Source organism: Homo sapiens, chromosome 21 (assembly GCF_000001405.40).
Source record: "Homo sapiens chromosome 21, GRCh38.p14 Primary Assembly".
Classification (NCBI taxonomy): Eukaryota; Metazoa; Chordata; class Mammalia; order Primates; family Hominidae; genus Homo; species Homo sapiens.
In genome coordinates this window covers 6,132,043-6,153,514 of record NC_000021.9, presented here as the reverse complement: position 1 = coordinate 6,153,514, position 21,472 = coordinate 6,132,043, and the positions used below count along the sequence as shown (strand labels likewise).

General features: G+C 58.0%; 2 protein-coding genes across 2 annotated transcripts, besides 1 other annotated feature; one reads left to right on the top strand and one right to left on the bottom strand.

Annotated features, from left to right (window-relative positions):
- Window positions 1–21,472: part of a sequence alteration artifact (region identified as an assembly artifact by the Genome Reference Consortium. This region falsely duplicates sequence located at GRCh38 chr21:43376890-43571979) that runs on past both edges of the window.
- LOC124905049 (uncharacterized) lies at window positions 3,844–11,188 on the bottom strand. Its single transcript, XM_047441062.1, has 3 exons — window positions 11,183–11,188; window positions 6,090–8,758; window positions 3,844–5,835 (listed from the first exon to the last, which is right to left on the bottom strand). Exons 1-2 carry the CDS (start codon window positions 11,186–11,188, stop codon window positions 7,685–7,687), a joined length of 1,080 nt encoding a protein of 359 aa, XP_047297018.1. The 3' UTR covers window positions 3,844–5,835; window positions 6,090–7,684.
- LOC107987288 (uncharacterized) lies at window positions 17,763–20,453 on the top strand. Its single transcript, XM_047441061.1, has 3 exons — window positions 17,763–17,868; window positions 18,227–18,451; window positions 18,568–20,453. Exons 1-3 carry the CDS (start codon window positions 17,763–17,765, stop codon window positions 19,029–19,031), a joined length of 795 nt encoding a protein of 264 aa, XP_047297017.1. The 3' UTR covers window positions 19,032–20,453.

Sequence of the window (21,472 nt, the reverse complement as noted above, 5' to 3'; positions counted from 1 at the left end):
AGGGGTGACAGCAGAAACACAGCTCCTCATTAAAGAGAAAACCTCATCCTGGATGTGTGCGTGGGTGTGAGTGTGCTTACTTGTGAGTGTATGGGAGAATGTGTGTGTGGGTGTGAATGGGTGTGATGTCAGCGAGGGTGTATTTTGACAGAGAGTGCTGCTAGGTGTGTGAGTGTATGTATGAAATCACCTCTAATTGTGCATATGACTGCTGTGAGATGATGTTGGGTGTCTGATGGGTGTGTGGTGTGTGCGAGATGATGTGTGGGTGTCTGGTGAGTGTGTAGTGTGTGTGAGATGATGTTGGGTGTCTGATGGGTGTGTGGTGTGTGTGAGATGATGTGTGGGTGTCTGGTGAGTGTGTGGTGTGTGAGATGATGTGTGGGTGTCTGATGGGTGTGTGGTGTGTGTGAGATGGTGTGTGGGTGTCTGATGAGGGAGTGTGTGCTGTGTGTAACCATGTGTCTCTGGTATGTGTGTTATGTATGTGAGTGTGTGGGGAGGTTATGTCTTTGTGGTGTGTATTGTGTGTACCCATGTTGTGTGTGTTTCTCTGTGTGTCCATGGTGTGTTCACAACGTGTACCAGTGGTGTGTGTGTCCATGGTGTGTGTGTGTGTGGTGTGTGTCCCTGGTGTGTGTGGTGTGCGTCCCTGGTGTTTGTGTGTCCCTGATGTGTGTGCATCCCTGGTGTGTGTATGGGTCCCTGGTGTGTGTGCTGTGCGTCCCTGGTGTGTGTGCATCCCTTGTGTGTCTGTCCCTGGTGTGTGTCCCTGGTGTGTGTGGTGTGTGTCCCTGGTGTGTGTGTGGTGTGTGTGTCCCTGGTGTGTGTGTGTCCCTGGTGTGTGTGTTTGCGGGGGTCCCTGGTGTGTGTGGTGTGCGTCCCTGGAGTGTGTGTGGGTCCCTGGTGTGTGTGTGGGTCCCTGGTGTGTGTGGTATGCATCCCTGGTGTGTGTGTGGTGTGCATCCCCGGTGTGTGTGTGTGTGTCCCTGGTGTGTGCAGGGGTCCCTGGTGTGTGTGGTGTGCGTCCCTGGTGTGTGTGGGTGTCCCTGGTGTGTGTGGTGTGCGTCCGTGGTGTGTGTGGGTGTCCCTGGTGTGTGTGGTGTGCGTCCCTGGTGTGTGTGGTGTGTGTCCCTGGTGTGTGTGTGTCTGTCCCTGACGTGTGTGTGTATCTGTGCACACGGCTGCCCACCCACAGGCTGTCCTGGCCAGGTGCCTGGTTCTCCCAGGCCCTGCAGAACACTCTGTGCGGAGTGGGCCCAGGAGGTGGGATTCCTGCAGAGCCGGTCCCTCTGGCCCTCGGGGTCTGCGCATCTTGGACAGTGTCCTGTGGGCTGCTCTGAGCCCAGGCACTGCTTGCAGGGCAGATGGGACACCGGCTGGAGGATGCCCACAGCCCATGGGCTGGTTGCTGCTGTCTCCCGCCTGCCTGCCAGGGGCACAGCCGGGGGTTTAGGGTGCAGCCTCCGGCCCGCTGGCTCAAGTTTCCAGAAGAGTCTGCCACAGACAGATCTCATGTAGCAAAGGGCAGAGGCCAGAGGTGGACTCCACACGGGCCTGCAATGGGTGACTGTGGGCAAGTCACCAAACCACGCAGGGCCTCCTGGTCACCGACCAGTCACCACCCCTGTCCCAGGGTAGGTGATGAGACAAAGCCCTTCCCTTGGCCCTGGCAGAGAAGTGAGGAGCAGCCGCTCTGCCTTAGTTTATAAAATGGGAAGAACAAGTCCCTGAGGGTCAACGTTTGGGGGACCCTGCAGAGACTGGGCACAAAGTGTCCTGCACATCTAGGATCAGGCAGGTGATGCTCAGACAAGTTCCAAACACATGGGGAACCAAAATGTGGTTGCCCCAAAATGTGGTTTTGGGGACCCCAACACCTGGGGTGGGTGGGCACAGCGTGCTCCTGTGTTGCTGAGAGCCAGAGAGGAAGTCTCCAACCCCACAGGGCTTTCCTGATCCGGGCATCTCGGCCCGGGGCCTGGCTGCTGGGCGGGCCCCAGGAGTGCCCCCATGGAGGGCCTTCTGGGATGACATTGGCCTGTGGCCACTTCTGCAGCCCCAGCCCAGCCTTCAGGTCTCTCCTGCTTCAGAAGCCCTTGGCCATCCCCAGGCACCTCCCGGACATTGCCCAGAGCGGCGGCCCTAAGACGACAAGAGCTGTGATGCCCCGTTGGTGCCGCTAGGACTGCCCAGCCCTCCTGCTGCTCCGTGGACCTCCGGGGTCTGGGATGGGTGGGTGGGGCCCTTCCTGGTGACTGGCGTTTACTGGGCTTCTGTGGGGCCACCAAGCACCGACACAGGGTCAGAGTGAGGAGCGAAAGCCCTGACGCCTGCCCTCATGGGGAGTCGGTCTCCTCTGGACACGGCCTTGTTCCAGTGACCACAGAGGCTGGCGAGTGCCACGTGGTCCCCACTGCATCACACACCTCCCACGCCCTGCCCGGCGTCAGGGACAGGAGGCTCAGGGAAGCGAAGGACACTGCCCAGGGGCACGGGGCTGGCCAGGGCTCGCCCAGGCCTGCCTGCCCCAAAGCCCAGCTCCTCTCTCCACCCGGCTCCTAGCTTTGTCCCAAAAAGCCGGAAGGACCAGACACTTGGTTTGGGGCAAAACTTAAGTGGGAGGGTGCTAAAAAAAAATCAAGATCAATAACATTTTAGTGTAATACTTTTAAAAATTAAAATTAATGCACAATTCATGATGAACGAAATGTCAAACTTCTAAACAAGTCAAGGCCCGCCTCTGTGTGGCACAGCCCTGGGGGCGAGTGCTCAGCCCACCCCAAACCCCTGGGCCGGGCTCCAGGGAAATGCTGCCAGCTTCCCACTTCCAGCAGAGCCAGCCCCTCAGCTGTGAGACGGTTTCCACAGCGACCAGCCCAGGTAGCGGGGAGGCTCTCCAGTTCAGGGGATGCTAGGAGACACTGGGAAGGGGGATCCCTGCTGGGAAGAGCCAGGAAGGGGCTCCACAATTCCTCTGGAGGAAGCACGACCTCCAAGGATGAGGAGAGGAAATCCCTCCAGCCCAGGAATTTCCCAAGCCAGAGCTCTCTGCCTCATGAGAATGGAGCCACCGTCCCCAGCGCCAAGGGAGGCTGCTCCCTCCCTTCCTCCTTCCCTCCCTTCCTCCCTCCCTCCCTCCCTTCCTCCTCCCTGTCCTTGCCCCCCGGGAGCCTAAGAGCTCGCTACCTGGGGTGAATGCCCAGTAGACCGTGCAGTTCTGATTTTCTCACACACTGCACTTTTGGATGATTACTTATGGATGCTAGCCATTACGAAGGAAGCAAAAAGCCGTGTGCAGTGCAGGACTGAGTTTGCTTGATTAAAAGGCCTCGCCAGTTGCTGACGCCCTGGGGTTGCGTCTGAGGGGCGGTGAACGTGGCCTCCAGATTTCTCTTGCTGCGAGGCTTGGGCACATCCCGATGGCAGTTGGCTGTGGGGTGAACGGGGAGTGCCAGGCAGGAGGCAGGGGCCTGGCAGGAAATAGATGTTACATGCAAATTGAATCACTTAAGGAGCATTTAATAAAGGAATTACAAGAACAGGACAGACTTGGGAAACCAGGAGGGATGGGTGCTCAAGGGGCAGCCCGGGCAGGAGAACCGCGTCTTCCCAAGGCCTGGAGAGGGAGGGCAGGAGCCAGTGCCGACCCAAGCCTTGTAGCTGTCGGTAAGAAGGCCTGGACAGGAGCCGCTCCCCACCCCTGACACACACAAAGGACACAGTGAGTCCCAAGCCCTTGGAGGGCAGTGGAAACGCCCCCTTAACAGGCAACGTTCTTCCGAGAAACAGAACCAGGGGGATTTGTCCCGGCTTTCCTGACATGAAAAAAACAATAGGCGGTTCATATACACGTATATATATTTAGACAATAGGCGGTTTACATACACATATATATGTTTAGAGAACAGACGGTTTACATACACGGATATACGTTTAGACAACAGGCAGTTTACATACACGGATATATGTTTAGAGAACAGGCGGTTTACATACACGGATATACGTTTAGAGAACAGGCGGTTTACATACACGGATATACGTTTAGAGAACAGGCGGTTTACATACACGGATATACGTTTAGACAACAGGCGGTTTACATACACGGATATACGTTTAGAGAACAGGCGGTTTACATACACGGATATATGTTTAGACAACAACAGGCGGTTTACATACACGGATATATGTTTAGACAACAGGCGGTTTACATACACGGATATATGTTTAGACAACAGGCGGTTTACATACACGGATATATGTTTAGACAACAGGCGGTTTACATACACGGATATATGTTTAGACAACAGGCGGTTTACATACACGGATATATGTTTAGACAACAGGCGGTTTACATACACGGATATATGTTTAGACAACAGGCGGTTTACCTAGACGGATATATGTTTAGAGATTTATTTTAAGGCATTGGATCCCGCAATCATGGGGGTTCAAAACCTGCAGGGCAGGCGGCAGGCAGGAGACACGCAGTAGGGCACGTCACCGTCTTGAGGCAGGTGTTCTCAGTGAAACCTCGGTTTTCACTCTTAAGGGCTTCCTTTGAAGGGATGAGTCCCTCCCAGAAAAATCGAGGCTAATCTCCTTCAGATCATCTGATTGTGGATATTGAGCTCCTCTGCAGGACACCTTCCCAGCTACACCTGGGCTCATGTTTGAGCACTTAGGTACTGTGGCCTGGCCAGGATTACAGGTAATGCAAACCTCATCCTCCCCATTTTGCCTCTCCCATCCTGGGCTTCTCTGCCAGGGCTTCCTAAGGGCTGAGCCAGAGGCGGAGAGGGCCTTGGGGGCATGCAGAGAGCTCAGCAGAGCAAGAAGAGGTCAGCCAGGCTGGGGGTCCCGGCGACTCAGGCAGGAGCCTGACGTTTAATTCCAGGTCTGCAGGAAACCATCTTGAGCTCCAGGTGGGAGAGGGTTCCCTGTGATCAGATTCTGAGCCTCGGGCGGGAGAGCGTTCCCTGTGATCAGATTCTGAGCCCCAGGCGGGAAAGGGTTCCCTGTGATCAGATTCTGAGCCCCGGGCGGGAGAGGGTTCCCTGTGATCAGATTCCACAAAAGAAGAGCTTCTTCCTTCCCCTCCCATTCCCAGTCACCCATGAGACCCGTGGCTACCTGGTGGTGGCATGTGGGGCAAACGCCTGTGTTGACCACCTGGGAGGTTTGGTTTCCTCCACTAGAAAACTGGAGAGCTGAAAACATGTCCTTGTAGAACATGTGAAATGACCTCCTGGGGTGCCTGACGCTGCCCGTGCGGGCTCTGGCGATGCCTCAGTGGCTTCCTAAGACACCCTCCTTCACCCCGTACAGTCTCCGGTGCAGAGATGGACGAGCTGGGGGACTCAGGCAATTTCCCCCACAAAGTGTTGCAATGGATTGAGAACGCCTCCCGGAGTGTCTGAGGCCACCTGCATTTTCAGAAGAAAGTTCCACTTTCTTCAGAACAGATAACGTGGTGCTTTGACTGCCATTGTTATCTGCTGCACCGAGTCAGGAGAGGCTGGGCCGTGACGTGACGCAGTAACAAGCAAACCTCCAAAATCTCACAGCTTAATCGCGCTACAGCGTATTTCTCTCTAGGGCAAGCAGCACACGGATTGTCAGGGCCCTCCTCCAGGGTCACTGGGGGGCCGGGTTCCCCATCTCCTAGTGCCGCCCTCACAGACATGCCTCCAGGGTCCCACGGCAGAGAGGGGCCTGTGGAGGAGGCATGCAACCTCTGAGTGTGTTGGCAAGCCGACTCATGGTCCTTCTGCTCAGAGCCCATTGGCCATGGCTGGTCACATGGTCCCAACCTCACCTCGAGGGACGCTGGGCCTGAAGGAAAACACACAGAATATTTAGAGAATTCTCCTGCCCTTCCTCTATGGAAATGTGGGACAGCTGGGCATGTCTAAAATTAATTGGTTTTTAAGAATGTTCAGTAAGATCCCATCCTGGGAAGAAAACCCTATTTAAAAATATATCATATAGAATATATAAAACATATACACATACAGATATAGACTGTGTGTGTTTTCTATTTCCATGTAGCAAATTACCCCAAAACTGAGCAGTGTAAAACAACAAACCTTCATTATCTTACAGTTTCAGAGGCTCCAGGATTTGGAAGAAGCCCAGTGGGGTGGCTGTGGCTCAGGATCTGGCACGAGGTTGCCGCCAGGACGGCAACACCTGCACGTGCGACTGGGCTGGGGGATCCGTTTCCAAGGAAGCTTGCTCACATGGCTGCTGGGGAGAGGCCTCCAGTCCTCACAAGGCCATTGGTGGAGGCTGCAGCTCCTCACAGGCTATTGGCGGGAGGCCTCAGTCCCTGGCCTCATAGGCTTCTCCACAAGGCTGCTTGAGCATTCTCCTAACATGGCGACTGTCTTCCCCCAGAGTGACCCCAGGGAGAGCAAGGTGGGATCCACAAAGCCATTTGTGAACTAGGCTTGGACATCACTCACTGTCACACAGGCCAACTCTGATACAATGATACCAGGACGCTGTGATGGCCAATTTCATGTGTCACCTTGACTGGGAAGAGGTGGCGAGATATTTGGCCGCATGTTCTCTAGGGTATCTGTGAGCTGTCTCTGGGTGAGATCAGCATTTGAGTTGAAGGACTGAGGAAAGTCCATGGCTGTCCCCTGCGTGGGCGGGCATCCTCCAATCCCTTGAAGGCCTGAGCAGAACAAAAGGCTGAGGGAGGGAGAGCCCACTTTCTCTGCCTGAAGGTCTTCAAGCTGATGGGATCTTGTCCAGCCTTCAGATTTGAACTCGGCTGCATCATCAGCTCTCCTGGGTCTCAGGCCTTCAGACTCAGATGGTGACATAGGCCCTCCTCCGTCTCCAGGTGGCAGGTCTCAGGACATCTCAGCTTCTGTAATCACATGAGCCAGTTCCCTGGAATAAATAAACCCGTCTCCTACTGCTTCTGTTTCTCCGGAGAACCCTGATGAATACAGCTATGGAGGCTGGCGGGGAAGACCCCAGAGACATCCTGGAGGCTCCCACAGAGAGAGGGGGGTGGTGCAGGGTTTTATTTCCAGTAGGAATTTTACTAGAGCAGCGGAATTGATGACTAAGGTCCACAGATGAAAATGACAGAGGTTCCAAGCAACCCCCAACACCACCCAGCACAATCTCCACATTCTAAGAAACTCATTAGACCCAGACACACAGCCTGCAGGGCTGAGCAGGACTGACCCGCCAGTCACCCAGCCGCAGCCCCAGCCTCTGTGTGGGGATAGGGAGGTCGGAGTCATCAGAGCTGGTGGCTCATCAGGGTACCAGCCCAGAGGGTGGAGGGGAGCGAGCAGGAGAGCACGCACACCTCTGTCCCCACCCCAAGTCTGGAGAGACAGCAGCCTCACCCCGGGGCAGGGGAGCATGAGCAGGACAGAAGATTCGAGCTTTCAGCTGGGCTGGGCTGCATTTCCACAGTTAAAAGTGAGCAGACGGCCGGGTGCGGTGGCTCAACGCACTCTGGGAGACCAAGGCGGGTGGATCACAAGGTCAGTAGTTCAAGACCAGCCTGGCCCACGTGGCGAAACCCTGTCTCTACCAAAAATACAAAACATTAGCCAGGTGTGGTGGTGGGTGCCTGTAGTCCCAGCTGCTTGGGAGGCTGAGGCAGGAGAATTGCTTGAACCCAGGAGACGGAGGTTGCAGTGAGCCGAGATCACACCACTGTACTCCAGCCTAGGCAACAAAGCAAGACTCTATCTAAAAAAAAAAAAAAAAGAAAAAGAAAGTGAGCAGACTCAGGGGAGTCTGTCCCAGGGGCTGTAAGGGACAAGGAGGGGAGTATGACGGGGCTGGCTGAAAGCTGCGATTGGCCAAAAGAAAGTAGTCTGTACTCATCCCAGGGCTGAGGCTGGGCCAGCAATAGTATGTAGACAGCACGGCCCAGGCAGGTGACGGTGTGTAGACAGCACGGCCCAGGCAGGTGACGGTGTGTAGACAGCACGGCCCAGGCAGGTGACGGTGTGTAGACAGCACGGCCCAGGCAGGTGATGGTGTGTAGACAGCACGGCCCAGGCCGGTGTCGGTGTGTAGACAGCACGGCCCAGGCAGGTGACGGTGTGTAGACAGCACGGCCCAGGCCGGTGTAGACAGCACGGCCCAGGCCGGTGTCAGTGTGTAGACAGCACAGCCCAGGCAGGTGACGGTGTGTAGACAGCACGGCCCAGGCAGGTGACGGTGTGTAGACAGCACGGCCCAGGCAGGTGACGGTGTGTAGACAGCACGGCCCAGGCAGGTGACGGTGTCTAGACAGCACGGCCCAGGCAGCTGACGGTGTGTAGACAGCACGGCCCAGGCAGGTGACGGTGTGTAGACAGCACGGCCCAGGCAGGTGACGGTGTGTAGACAGCACGGCCCAGGCAGGTGACGGTGTGTAGACAGCACGGCCCAGGCAGGTGACGGTGTGTAGACAGCACGGCCCAGGCAGGTGACGGTGTGTAGACAGCACGGCCCAGGCCGGTGTAGACAGCACGGCCCAGGCCGGTGTCAGTGTGTAGACAGCACAGCCCAGGCAGGTGACGGTGTGTAGACAGCACGGCCCAGGCAGGTGACGGTGTGTAGACAGCACGGCCCAGGCCGGTGTCGGTGTGTAGACAGCACGGCCCAGGCAGGTGACGGTGTGTAGACAGCACAGCCCAGGCCGGTGTAGACAGCACAGCCCAGGCCGGTGTAGACAGCACGGATGCAGCCGGGCTCCAGCTGCTCGGCCATGTCCGTGGCCTGCAGAATTCTAAGAAAAACAATGACAGGTAGTGTGTGTGTTCATCCATTCTCGCATTATATAAAGAAATACACAAGGCCGGGTGCGGTGGCTCACGCCTGTAATCCCAGCACTTTGGGAGGCCAAGGCAGCCGGATCATGAGGTCAGGAGATCCAGACCATCCTGGCCAACATGGTGAAACCCCATCTCTACTAAAAATACAAAAAAAAAAATTAGTTGGGTGTGCTGGTGTGCACCTGTAGTCCCAGCTACTTGGGAGGCTGAGGCAGAAGAATCACTTGAACCTGGAAGGCGGAGGTTGCAGTGAGCTGAGATTGCACCACTGCACTCCAGTCTGGCAACAGAGTGAGACTCCATCTCAAAAAAAAAAGGAAGGAAGGAAGGAAAGATGGAAGAGAGAGAGAGAAAGAAAGAGAAGGAAGGAAGGAAGAAGGAAGAAAGGAAGGAAAGAAAGAAAGAGAGAGGGGGAAGGAAGGAAAGAAGAAAGAAAAAAAGAAAGAAAGAAAGAAAGAAAGAAAGAGAAAGAAAGAAAAGAAAGAATGAAAGACAGACAGACATGAGACTGGGTAATTTGTAAGGAAAGAGGTTGAATTGGCTCATGGTTCTGCTGGCTGTACAGGAAGCATAGCAGCATCAGCTTCTGAGGAGGCCTCAGGAAGCTTCCAATCATGGCAGGAGGCAACAGGGGAGCAGGTGTGTCTTCCATGGCCAGAGCAGGAGGAAGAGAGAAGAGAGAGTGGGGGCAAGGTGCACATGCTTTAAAATGACCAGATCTCACGAGAACTCACTGTTGTGAGGACAGTACCAAGGGGATGGTCCTAAACCATTCATGAGAAATCCACCCCCATGAGCCAACCGCCTCTCACCAGGCCCCACCTCCAACACTGGGAATGACAATTCTGCATAAAGTTTGGGTGAGACAGAGCCAAACCTTGTCAGTGTGCATGTATTTGTCTGATTTAAGGAGCTAATTTATAGCCCAGTAAATAAAAAGAGAAGATGAAGAAAGGAGTTAGGAAGGGAAACGTTCAGACAGAGTGAGCTAGAAACCCGTCCGACTACTGCAAACTGGGGTTGGTGCTGTTTCCCCACAATTAAGAGTAGGTGGGGCCTAGGGTGTCTTTGCAATCCTGTCGCTGCAGCTCCTCGTGGGGTGGGGGCAGGCTCAGTAGCCCCTGCTGAGCAGAGGGCCTCTCCAGGCCCTCAGGGACAGAGGGCCTTGGGAGGATGCACCCCCAGCCAGTGCAGGGAGGCTGAGGAAGCTCCCACTCAATGGCAACCACATTCATTTGGCCTCACAGTCCACCCCGGGACTTGGGCGGTCCTGTTAGCAATGACAGGCAGCAGAAAGCGTTTCCATGTAAATTCCTACAAAGCTCTGGCTCTCTTGCTCCGGCTTCTATGATTGGAGCCTGGAACACGGATTCGAAGGACCTTCAGTCAGAAAGGGGACCTGCCACCTTCACGGCAGCACCCAGAGAGCAGCTTCCACGGGGCTGGATCCAGGACCCTAAACCATGGCCCCGAGGCTCTGCCCCTCTGCCCAGGCTGACGCCACGTGTCCTGCCCAGAATAACCAAGGCAACCAGTGACCGTGTCCGGTTCAGATCTGCTCTCCCACTGTTCCCAAATGAGCTTCGCAGGCCAGAGGTTTTGACTTGGAACTGAGCGAGATGAAAACTGTGAGAAGGGCCCCAGGGCAAGGAAGCCCTTCCCTCCCCCGCGGTCAATTCTGCTGCAAAATTTATTCCTGTCCCTCCAGGCCACCAGCGGAGGGAGAGCCAAGGCCCAGGAGGCTGCATGAAGAAACCCCGGCCACCACACCGTGTCCCCAGGGCCCACATGCTCCACTCTCTTTGGTCAAAGAGTCCCTGGTGCAGCGGGGTGACTGGTCCATAAAGATTGTGTCCACTTATGCGCCAGGCACGGGCAAGGGGCTGGGGATACCGAGAGCCTGGAAATGCACAACCCTCCATCACAGTGCTCGCCCATTTGGCTGGGGAGGTGCACACACTGCCCAGCCTCCGTCCTCCCCTTTGCAAGGCAGCAGATAAGTCTCCCTTTTCTATAGGCTGACCCTATCCTGTTATAAGGAGGCGCGTGCTCCCTCGCCAGCCGCAGTGATCAGTCCTGGGAGCTCACACAGCCCAAGCTACACCATTGGAAGTCCCTGGGAGACTTGTCCACAGAGTGAAGGGAAAAACGGCCTCTTCTCATCAGGGCTGCTAACCTGGGATTGCCAGAGGCCATCCCCCACTGCATGGAGAGAGAGCTGACACCCTGAATGAAGTCAAGTAAAGACAAGCAGGGCTGAGATGCCGGGAGAGAGACAGAGCTTTGAGTGCATTATTGAGGTCCTGGATCCAGCCATGCCTGCAGCTGCGCCTGGGTGAGATAGTTATAATAAGCCAACAGGCTCCCTTTTGGCTTACGTTCATCTGAGTTGGGATTCTGCACCAAGAGAGCTCTCCCTACCGCAGATAGGACAGCACTCCTGCAGTAATGCCGGATTAATACAATAGGTGCGCAGACAGGGGTGTGCAGAGGTGCTGTGGAAATAAGGCGGTAGGCAGGACTCAGGTCTTAAAGGATGACAGCAGCTCTCCAGGCAAAGGCCCTCAGAGGGTTCCAGGCAAGAAAACTGCATGAGCCTCAGGGAGAGGCAAGGGAGCAGGTCGGGGCACATACAGTTCACAGTGGCCATGAGGGCCGCATGCAGGCCACAGGCAGTGGAGGGGGCGGGTGCAGGAAGGCAGAGGGTGATGGTGGGAGCAGCACCTCCACTTTCCATCTTGGAGCAGAGAGGTGGTTAAACACCCACGACACACACTCACAGCAACCAGACATAATTCACAAATAGCCCCTCCTGTGTTCTCTCCCAGCAGTGTGAGGGGGACGCAGAACCAGTGTCTCCTCTTAAAATCCCCGAACCCTCCCGCTGGCTGGCCCTGAGCAGCAAAGAGGACACCTGCGCGGCCTTCCTCTCCCGGCCCCTAACTGAGCCACGGCTACATCCCGCTCCTCCCACCAAAGCTCTTCGGCCAGTCAGCCCTCAGGCTCCAGCGCGGCTCGGAGGGGCCTGCCCCTGGTATAGCGCCCATGGTCACTGTCGGACACTCTTAAAACAACGGCCGTGTTTCTGTTCTGCGCTGGGCCCTGAAGCTCATGTCATCAGCCCTGCCGGCTGTGGGGCTCCCGGATTCTCTGACCTTGACCCATGCTGCAGCCACTCCGCCTGTTTCCTGGGGCTGGTTTACACCCCGAGATGCAGGGAAGGCCCAGCTGCGGAGCCCCAGGGAGGCCAGGAGCTGTTCACAACTCCAGGAAGCCACACTGGGCCTCAGTTGACGAAGAAGGCGACACCTTCGTGTGGGCCTTGCCTGCTAATCGGTGTCCTCAACCCAAGGGCACAGGCGCCGCTCCCAGGCCGCGCAGGCAGAGTAGAGCTGGGGTGGATGGCAGGCTTCAGGGACCCAGCCCCGATGAGTCACTTGGAAGGCATTTGCCCCAGAGCTTCCCTGGCCACTGCGCCTCCTCCCGCCCCAATCCAGCCCCATCTGGGTCCGAGCCTCTGGAGAGGAGCTGGCAGGTCAGGATGCGGTTCCCGTGCTCTTGCCTGTGTGTGGGGACCCGAAAGCCAGGCTGGTGGCCGAGGATGGCGAGCACAGCCCCAGCCCCTCGGCCTAGCGGGAGCTTCACGGGACGGTGCTCCCCCCACACCGTGGTGTTGCTTCTGTGGCCCCCTTCAGGGCCCACAGAGGGAAGGGGCCTGGCTCTCCCACGGGGCCTCTGTAATATTTAACCATAAACCAAGGCTGCGGGGAACCCCCAGTTTGCAGTAAACTTCCATTTCTCTCCACTGGATGCGCAGGACTCCACTCAGCCAGGTAGGAGAATCTGCACTCACCTGGTTTCCGGAGCAAGGAGGCTGATGGCATCAGGGACTACCTCCCCTCAGCTTCCTCGGGCCACGCAGGAGTCCCCGGCCCGCCTCCTCCAAGACAGTGTGCGCATTTTGCCCGAGACAACACGGGCCTCAGACCGGGTACCGTGCCCAAGCACACACGGGCACACGCCCCTCCCACCTCCGGGCCATGTCCTGCCAGAGTCCACCCTCCTGGGCACAGGGCAAGCTCAGCTCTCAGCTCTCCCTGCCTGGCTGGCAGCAGCTGCAGCAGGTCACACCAGCAGCTTGGGCTCCCAAGAGCCTCGGGACCCCAGAACCACAGGTGGCCTGGCCTCTGGGGATGGTCGGGGGCTGAGCGTGAGACCCCAGCTGGGTGGCAGAGGCTCCAGTACTGAGGATTCCAGGCTGTGGTAGCACTCCACTGCAGGCCGACCTGCAGGCCAGGAGGAAGGGGCCCGCCGCCCAGGGTGTCTGTTCTAAGGAGCGCAGGGACAGGGCCTCCCCTGCAGGCGAGGCCACAGAGTGGGCCACCTCCTCCTCCCTGACCCCTCCTCCCAAGGGGCTTATCCTCCTCTGCAGGGCTGGTGTTACTCCCCCAAAGCCATCACCCCCCTGTGTCACCTCCTCCCGTGGCCACTTGGAGAAGTGGTCATTGTGGTCACTCCCCACTGTGGTCACCTCCCCCCAGGTGACCTCCCCACCAGGTCAATTCCCCACCAGGTCACCACCCTACTATGGCCTCCTCCCCCAGAAGTCACTTCCTCCTGTGGCCAGCTCCCCACTGTGGTCATCTGCCCCCACATAACCTGACACTGTCAGGTCATCTCCCCGCTGTGATCACCTCCCCCAGAAGCCACCCCTTCCCGTGGTCACCTCCCACCAGGGTGTCTCCCCCCAGGTCACCTCCCCACCAGGTCACCTCCTCCTGTGGCCAGGTCCCTGTTGTGGTCATCTGCCCCAGGTATCTCCTCATCAGGTCATCCTCCCCTGTGGTCACCTCCCCCAGAGGCCACCTCTCCCTGTGGTCACCTCCCTCCCAGGTCACCTTTCCCCCAGGTCACCTCTACCCCACACTCATGCTGACCAACATGAGGTGCCCTTCTCCTGCCGGGAGCCCGCCCGGTCACCAACACTCCCCCTGGGGCTCTCTGGCTCCTGACCTGGAGTCACTAGGGCCAACCCCATCAGACATGCTGGACAACTTTATGTGGGTCACTTAATGCCTCTGAACCTCAGCTTCCTCTTCTGCACGATGGAGACAAAAACATTTGCTCTTCAAGCCTGTGGTAGGGACCAGGTCAGAGTAAACAGGAAGACAGCTTTCGGCCAGGCGGTGCACCTCGGTGCCGGTGAGTGTGAGCGTGTGTGCGTGTGCACGTGTGCAGATGTGTGTGGACGCTCCCTTCTCCGCAGCAGCTCCTGACCCCCTGCAGGTGACCCTCAGCCAGCCCCAGGGCTGCCCCCACTCTCCCCTGTGGACACCTACCTCATTTGGGGTGAAGTGGGGGGACTGGGGTGTGAGGGGTGCTTTGGGGGGCACACTTCGACCCCTCTCTCTGCAGGCCAAGTCCTGAGGCTCAGTTTCCTCCTCTGTGCCCCGGCGACGTGGTGCAGGCCTCGCGAGTGACGTGAGGGTTCATGACCCAGGTGTGGGCAGCCAGCCCTTCACGGGAGGCCACCCACCTGGCCACAGTGCCTGGGAATTTAGGTCGGGCACTGCCGATATGTCGCCTTCCACAAGGCGGGCCCGGGCCTCTGCTGACCGTGCACCGGTCCTGGGGCTGGGTAATTCTGCAGCAGCAGCGCAGCCCATGCCGGGGAATTTGCGGGCAGAGGAGACAGTGAGGCCCGCGTTCTGTGCGGGAACTCCCGAGCTCACAGAGCCCAAGACCACACGGCTGCATCTGCTTGGCTGACTGGGCCAGGCCCACGCGTAGTAACCCGGACGTCTCTCTCTCACAGTCCCCTTGCGTCTGGCCAGGGAGCTGCCAGGCTGCACCCCGCGGTGGGGATCGGGAGAGGGGCAGTGTCGCCCATCCCCGGAAGGCTGAGCCTGGTGCAGCCAGGGAGTGAGGGGGCGGGAAGCCGGGGTGCTGCCCTGAGGGTGCCCCGACACGCTCTCCTGGGGCCCTGAGCGGCTGCCACGTGCGTCCAGGGTTCTGGCCACAGGGTGGGCAGGGGCCCTGTGCTCCTCACTGGAGGCCCCTGAGGCTCTGGAACTGAGACCATCCACCCGCCGGCCCCCTCTCGCCGGCTCCGGCACCCCTGCCTACTGTGACTTCCTGCCCCGGACTCGCTCTGCCAGCTTGGGGCAAACCACTTCCCTCTGGGGTTTTCACTTCCCTCTTTCCCAAGTGGGGAAAGACCACCTGTCCCCGACCCAGAAAGGGCCCCTGCCCGAGGGCAGCAGCAGTGCCAGGCTGGCATGTGAGGCTTGGGGCAGGCCCGGCCCCCAGAGGCACAGGGCGATGCTCTGTGGGACGCTGTGTCGTTTCTAAGTACAAGGTCAGGAGAGGAGCCCCCTGACCCCGGAGGGGAGGAGAGGCAGGGCAGGAAACCGCCACCATCTCAGCCCACAGGCCTGGCTGCTGGGAGTTGCTGACAGCCCGCTCCTCCGGGGCCCCCAGGCCCAAGGCCACCCTGGGGTGTAGCTGTCCGCTAGGCCCTCTGTGCTCCCGGTCAACAGACCCACAGGGCCTGCTTGGCGGAAGGGGAGGGGTGTTAAGAATCAGCCCCCACAGAAAGCATTGCCAGGGGATTTTGTACCAAACCGAATGCACGGGTGGACGGGCAGGGCCTGTGGATGCGTAGGCCAGAGGGAGCGGAGCGATGACAGGGAGCCCCCGGGGTGGGCACGGAGCACAGTCCTTTCCCTCCCAGCAGGCACCTCCCACAGCCTCCCCACCTGCCCTCCGCCATCCCAGGTCGCCCCGACCCATCTGCTGGGGTCCTCACCCGCAGCCCATGAGTCTGGCCGCCAGGACGAGTGCCTATCAGCAGCCTAGACCCTGACCGCTGGAAGGTTGGGTTCTGTGGCCCAGGAGCAGTACCTGGCGTGCCAGGAATGAGCCCCTCTCACCACAGCCTCACACCCAGCCCCAGTCACACCACTGGGGACCGGGCTGGCCCCGGACACAGGCCCACCAGTTCCTCCACCCCTGATTAGGCCCTTCTGTGGTTGGGGTGGGGTAAGCCCTGCCCTGCCTTGCCCCAGAGGCCTTCCACCTCCATTCCTGCCCTCCCTGGCCTGCCCTGAGTGGCCAACTCCCCACGAGGTTTGCCCCCTGCTGAAACCCTCCCCATGCCCGGCTGGCACCGCTGTCCCATCCAGCAGGAGCAGCCCCTCCCAGCCAGAGCCTGCCCTCACAGTGGCTTCCCTCGCCGTGTCCAGGGCAAGGCGCCCCTCCCACCCCCAGCAGCCCTGCGAGGCTAAGGTCCCAGAAGCCTGGGGGAGACCCAGGAGCCATTTCCCAGGACGTAGCGGGGGCTTCCGGGCAGCCTGAGGAGGAGGGAAACGGAGCTTGTGTGGGTTCAGCAGGAACAGGCAGCCCGTGTCCCCCCTTGGGTCCAGCCTTCTGAGAGTCCCGCCTGCCAAGGCCCTCACCTCCCAGGGAAAGCACTTCACTTCAGTGCAGCTCCTTGCTGCGACAGCCAAGAGCCCCCAGAACAGCTCCGAGGAGGTCGCAGGACATAAGAAGCCCCAAGGTTGTTTCTGGGGGCCATGGGGGAGGAGAGCCCTGGGGCACCCCACAAAGAGGAGGAGGCAGAAGTGGGCAGGGAAGGGGAGGCTGTGGAGTCGCGGATCCCACCCGCAAGCAAGGGCTCTGCGCGCTGTTTTCTGTGTCTCTCCATCTGCCTCTGTCTACCCCAACAGGGAGGATGTGTTTATTTAAAGATGCCGCTACTCACAGCAGAAGTGTCTGTTTCAAAGCAGAAATATGATCCTGTTTGGGTTGGAGGAGGGAGTCATTCCATGAGGAAAATATTTCTTCTTTACAAAAAGAGGGCCCTGGAGCGTGGAGAGGGCAGGAGGGCGGACACCACGGGGCAGCTGAGAACTGGAAGCGGGGATTCTGGGCTCTGGGGCTAGGACCCCGGCCCAGGCTCTTCCCTGATAGCCCTGGTGACTCAACGCGTGGGTCTTTTGTCCTTCACGGATAGGAACCGGCGTGTTTGGGCTTCTTAGTTTCCTGTGGCTGCCGAAATTCATTCCATCACAATTCTGGAGGCCAGAAGTTCAAAATCAACATGTGGGCAGAGCCACGCACCCTCCATGGGTTCTAGCGGAAGATCCTTCCCTGCCTCGTCCATCTCTTCCAGCTCCTGGTGGCCCTTGGCTTGTGGCTGTGCCACTCCAGTCTCCGTCTTCACGTCCGTCCCCCTCGTGCCCGTGACTCTGGGTCCCAATTTCCCCTCCTGTCAGGTGTCTCTGTGACAGGACCCCTGTCACACAGGGATTAGGCCCACCTTGCTCAAGTATGACCTCATCTTAACTTGATGACTTCTGCACAGACTCTATTTTCAAATGAGATCACGGCAGGTGCCAGCGCTTAGGACCTGGACATACCATTTTGGGGGCACAATTCAACCCATAATACCCTCCTTCTTAAAAAGAAAGTGAAAGTGGAGGCCGACCTTGAAACGCCAAGGCCTTCCTCCTGCGGGGGCGGGGTGGGAGAGGGGCCTGGCCACCCGCTGAGCCCCGCTCTCAGGCAGCATCTCTGGTGGTAGGAGGGGCCCTGGGGGGCAGCACAGGCAACAAAACCCAGGATGCCCTAGAGGCCCGTCACTGCCCAGGGGGCTCTGAGGTCCGGCTGCAGCATCAGGGTCTGACCCGCTCGGACATTTACCGCCTCTGTGATCTGGACTGAAGGCTTCAACCTTTAGTTCTCCCTCTGTGAAGTGCGCTGACAGAGAGGCCTTGGTGAGGTCACCGGGACAGCTTGCCCGTGCCCAGCGAGGGAAGGAGGAAGATGGGGCCGGCCACTCCGCTCAGCTGCAGGACGACACCCTTATGTACTTCCCAGCTAACCTGAGACCTCAGTTTCCCCATCTGCACCCCTGTGAGGACAAAATCTCTGCTTTGCTCCCCACCTTACCCACGCATGAGGCCTCACCCTTTGACACAGCAAGATGAGCCCCAGGAACGGGAGGTGGGAGAAGGCAGCCTAGCCAGCCTCTACATCCAGAGGCCCACACCCCCAGCCTTGCGTCTGGGGAACGTCCCAGAGTCCAACCATCTCCCATCTGAGGGGCTTGGGGTCCTGCAGCTGCAGACGACTGCACCCTCAGGGCCGACACCCACCCTGGACGGGCAGACATGCACCCCTGCTTACGCCAACTGCTCTGTCTGGGTGCCAGGCAGGGACAATTCAGCCCTATCACGGGAGCACTGCCGGGGGCTCCCACCCACCTCTGGTCCTCCGGCCACGTGTGCCTCAGTTTCCTGACCCATAAAGCAGGGAGGCTGCGATGACAACCTCAGGGGGGAACATCCCCAGGGGCCTGGGCACAGTGGCGTTCAGGACATAAACCACTGTGGCCAAAGCCTCTGGGACAGGCCTCTGAGCATATGCAATCAGGAGAGTGGGGAGAAGCCAGTCGCTGGGTCCAGGAAGCAGAAGGGAGGGTGCTGAGGGCACCTGCTGTGGGTGCTTCCTTGGGGTAGAAACGAGACCAGAAGCCCCTAGGGATGAGAGCCTGGCCACGGCAGGGACCCTGGAATACAGATGGATCCCACATGCAGAGCGCGTCCCCGGGAGACCCCAGACCTGGACGGTCAGCAAGGCCTGGGGTGAGAAACAGCTCGGTCCCAGGTAGGAGGGGTGCCCAGAGCCACCACAGGCTCTGTGACGGGAGGGCCAGGCAGCCATCACCGCCCACTGGGCTGAGCCTGCCCTGCACTTCCAGCTCCTGCTCCCGGAAACTGCCCGGTGTGGGGGCCAGAGGGTGACCCCACAGCACTGTGGCCCAGAACACGCGAAGGCAAGCTTCACCCGACTCGGACCACTGCTACCGACCGTGGCCAGCCCACATCACTGGAGCCCGGGCTCTTTCCCCCGACTGGGGGCATTGCCGGGGTGTGTGCTGGGGTGCGCCCCCGTCCCCCACAGGACCTGGCCGTCCACTCCACTCACCAAGGGCAGCTCCAGCCACCCCCTGCAAGCTCTGCTGGACCCTCCCGCTCCCTCACCCATTGCTGTAACCTTCCCGCCACCCTTGGTGCCAACCCTACACCTGGGAGCCACAAACGCCTCTTGGATCCCAAGCCTCCAGGCAGGGTGGTTCTGAGCGGGGTAGCATCTCCCAAGCCCTGGCCAGCCCCGAACCCCCTGCACCACCCCAGCAGGGCCCGGGGAGCTGTGGTGCTCTGAATTCTGAGTGGCCGATGGCGCATCATGCCGGTGAGAGGTAATAATCACTGCCTGACTCAGACACGCAGACTGCTGGGCTGTCATGCCTATTTCAGGAAAATTAATTATACCCCATGCCGAGAGGGAACTCGCCCATTTAACGTCTTCAACGCACCTGCCCAGAATGCCATGGCACAGCCTGCCTGCACCCCTGGGCATGGGAAAGGGTGGGCAGAGCCCCCAGTTTCTCCAGGTGTCAGGCGGGCTTGCAGGGTGGTGGCCAGCAGGGCTCCAGGCCCTTCTAGCCAGGCCCGACCCCGTCACCACTGATACTGGAAACTGCAACCTTTGCCCAGGGAGTCCCCTTTGAAAGCCAAGCCTTTGATCCAGCTGAGTGCCAGAAAAGGCCTTGGGCCGGCCCTGGGGCTGGCCCGAGGACCTGGCTCAGGGACCTGGCTGGCCCTACTGTGGCATTAGAAAGCTCCGCACCAGTAAGCCGACCGTTGCCCACATGGGAAGGCTGCCCTATGCCCTCTGGACAGTTGGCCCTGCTGGCAAGCCCGTTTCCTTCTCCTACTTGCTCTATGGGGCCTGCTAAGATGGACAGCAGGCACGTCCAGGACCAGGGGCTGGGAGCTGGGCTTAGCTGCCCTGGGCTGAAATTCAGCCCAGGCCTCTGGGCCCCGAGCTTTACCTTTCCCTGGCAAGAGTTGATGTACACGTTGGCGTAACCAGGCTGCACACATCCCAGGACAAGCTTCCCAACTGTGACTAGCCATGGCTCACGTTTGCCTGGGTTCCCCCACCAGGCTCGCCCCAGGCCTGCCCTTGCTATGTCCTCAGACACCCGGGGGCAGGCACAGCTGTCACCCTCCTGGCAGCTGGAAAAGAAGGGCTTGAGCAGTTCTACAGCTCAGCGAGGCTGCAGGGCTTTGCAGGGAAGAGCCGCCAGGTGCCAGACGTCACGCGTGGCAAGGCAAATCCTACAGCCGGAACTGGCTGGCTCCGGTGCAGGCTTGGGACTTGTAGGCACACAGATCCACCCCGTCCTAGAGAAGCTGTCATTGCCACATCTACCAATTGAGGCTGTTGCATTTGTTAGTAGTTTTCAAATGTGTTTTGTCATTGTTATCATAAAAATAAATTTTATAAGAACACCATTCCACCAAACACAGTAAGAGTGATGGTTTCAGGCAAGCCCACAGCCTCCCTAATGCTTGCTGTGGCCCGGCGTCTACCATCTGACCACGAAGACGTGGACAGAGGCGTGTGCACCCCATCCCCTTCCCACGTAGAGATACAATGGGTAATTAACGCACAGTTGACCCAGGAGATGACATGAAAAGAGGACATTCCCAGGAACAAAGAGGAGACCAGACAAACCAACTGGACACAGAGCAAGAAACACAGGCATGTCATTCACTACACTCAATACTACATGGGCTTCAGCAACCTACGTGTGGATAAAGAAACTGTGGTGTGTGTATATATATATATATATATATATATATGATGGAATACTACTCAGACATAAGAAGTAATGAAGTAATGGCATTTGCAGCAACTTGGATGAGATCGGAGGCTATTATTCTAAGTGAAGTAACTCAGGAATGGAAAACCAAACTTCGTATGTTCTCACTTATAAGTGGGAGCTAAGCTATGAGGATGCAAAGGCATAAGAATGACACAATGGACTTTGGGGACTCAGGGGGAAAGGGCGGGAAGGGGGTGATGGATAAAAAACTACAAATCGGGTTCAGTGTGCACTGCTTGGGTGATGGCTGCACCAAAATCTCAGAAATCACCACTAAAGAACTTCCTCACGTAACCAAATACCACCTGTTCCCCCACAACCTATGGAAATAAAAAAGTTTAAAAAAAGGCTGCTAAATGGGCTAAACTCACCAATGAAAAGCAGAGATGGTTGGACTGGCTAAAAATCAAAGACTTAAAGTATGCTGTCTGCAAGAATCACACCTGAAAGACAAAGACAGACTGCAAATATAGAAATGGTCAAAGATACAGCATTCAAACCCTGACCCCGGGGCGGCTGGCACGGCCACGAACATCGCAGGCAACATAGACTCCAGGGCAAGGAAGATGGACGAAGACACGTGGAGACAGTTCATCAGTGAAGAAAGGGTCAGCCTGTTAAGGAGACCCACAGTCCTAAATATGCACGCACGTGATGGAAAGCTTCAAAATATGCAGCTGGAAATGAGAGCAGTGAAGACACAGATGAAGGCACGAGCTTCGTCCGCCACCTCACGCTCTTCCCCCAGCAATGAACAGAGAAAGAAGACAGGTCAGTGGAATGTAGACAGCTCCAAAAACAGCATCTCCAGCTCGCTCGGATGTCTGGAGGCTTCCCGACCGCAGCAGAATACGCGCTTTTCTCAGGGCACATGGTGTAGACCCAAGCAGTCAGCTGTAAATTAAAAATTAACAACTAAAAGTTACCT

Excerpts from the sequence above, each read along its gene's own strand:
- LOC107987288 (XM_047441061.1), top strand. The coding sequence starts at position 17,763 with ATGAGGCCTCACCCTTTGACACAGCAAGATGAGCCCCAGGAACGGGAG. Across the intron at positions 17,869-18,226 it reads GCCCACACCCCCAGCCTTGC|CATATGCAATCAGGAGAGTG; the intron begins GTCTGGGGAACG and ends CAGGCCTCTGAG. Across the intron at positions 18,452-18,567 it reads GACGGTCAGCAAGGCCTGGG|CTCCTGCTCCCGGAAACTGC; the intron begins GTGAGAAACAGC and ends CTGCACTTCCAG.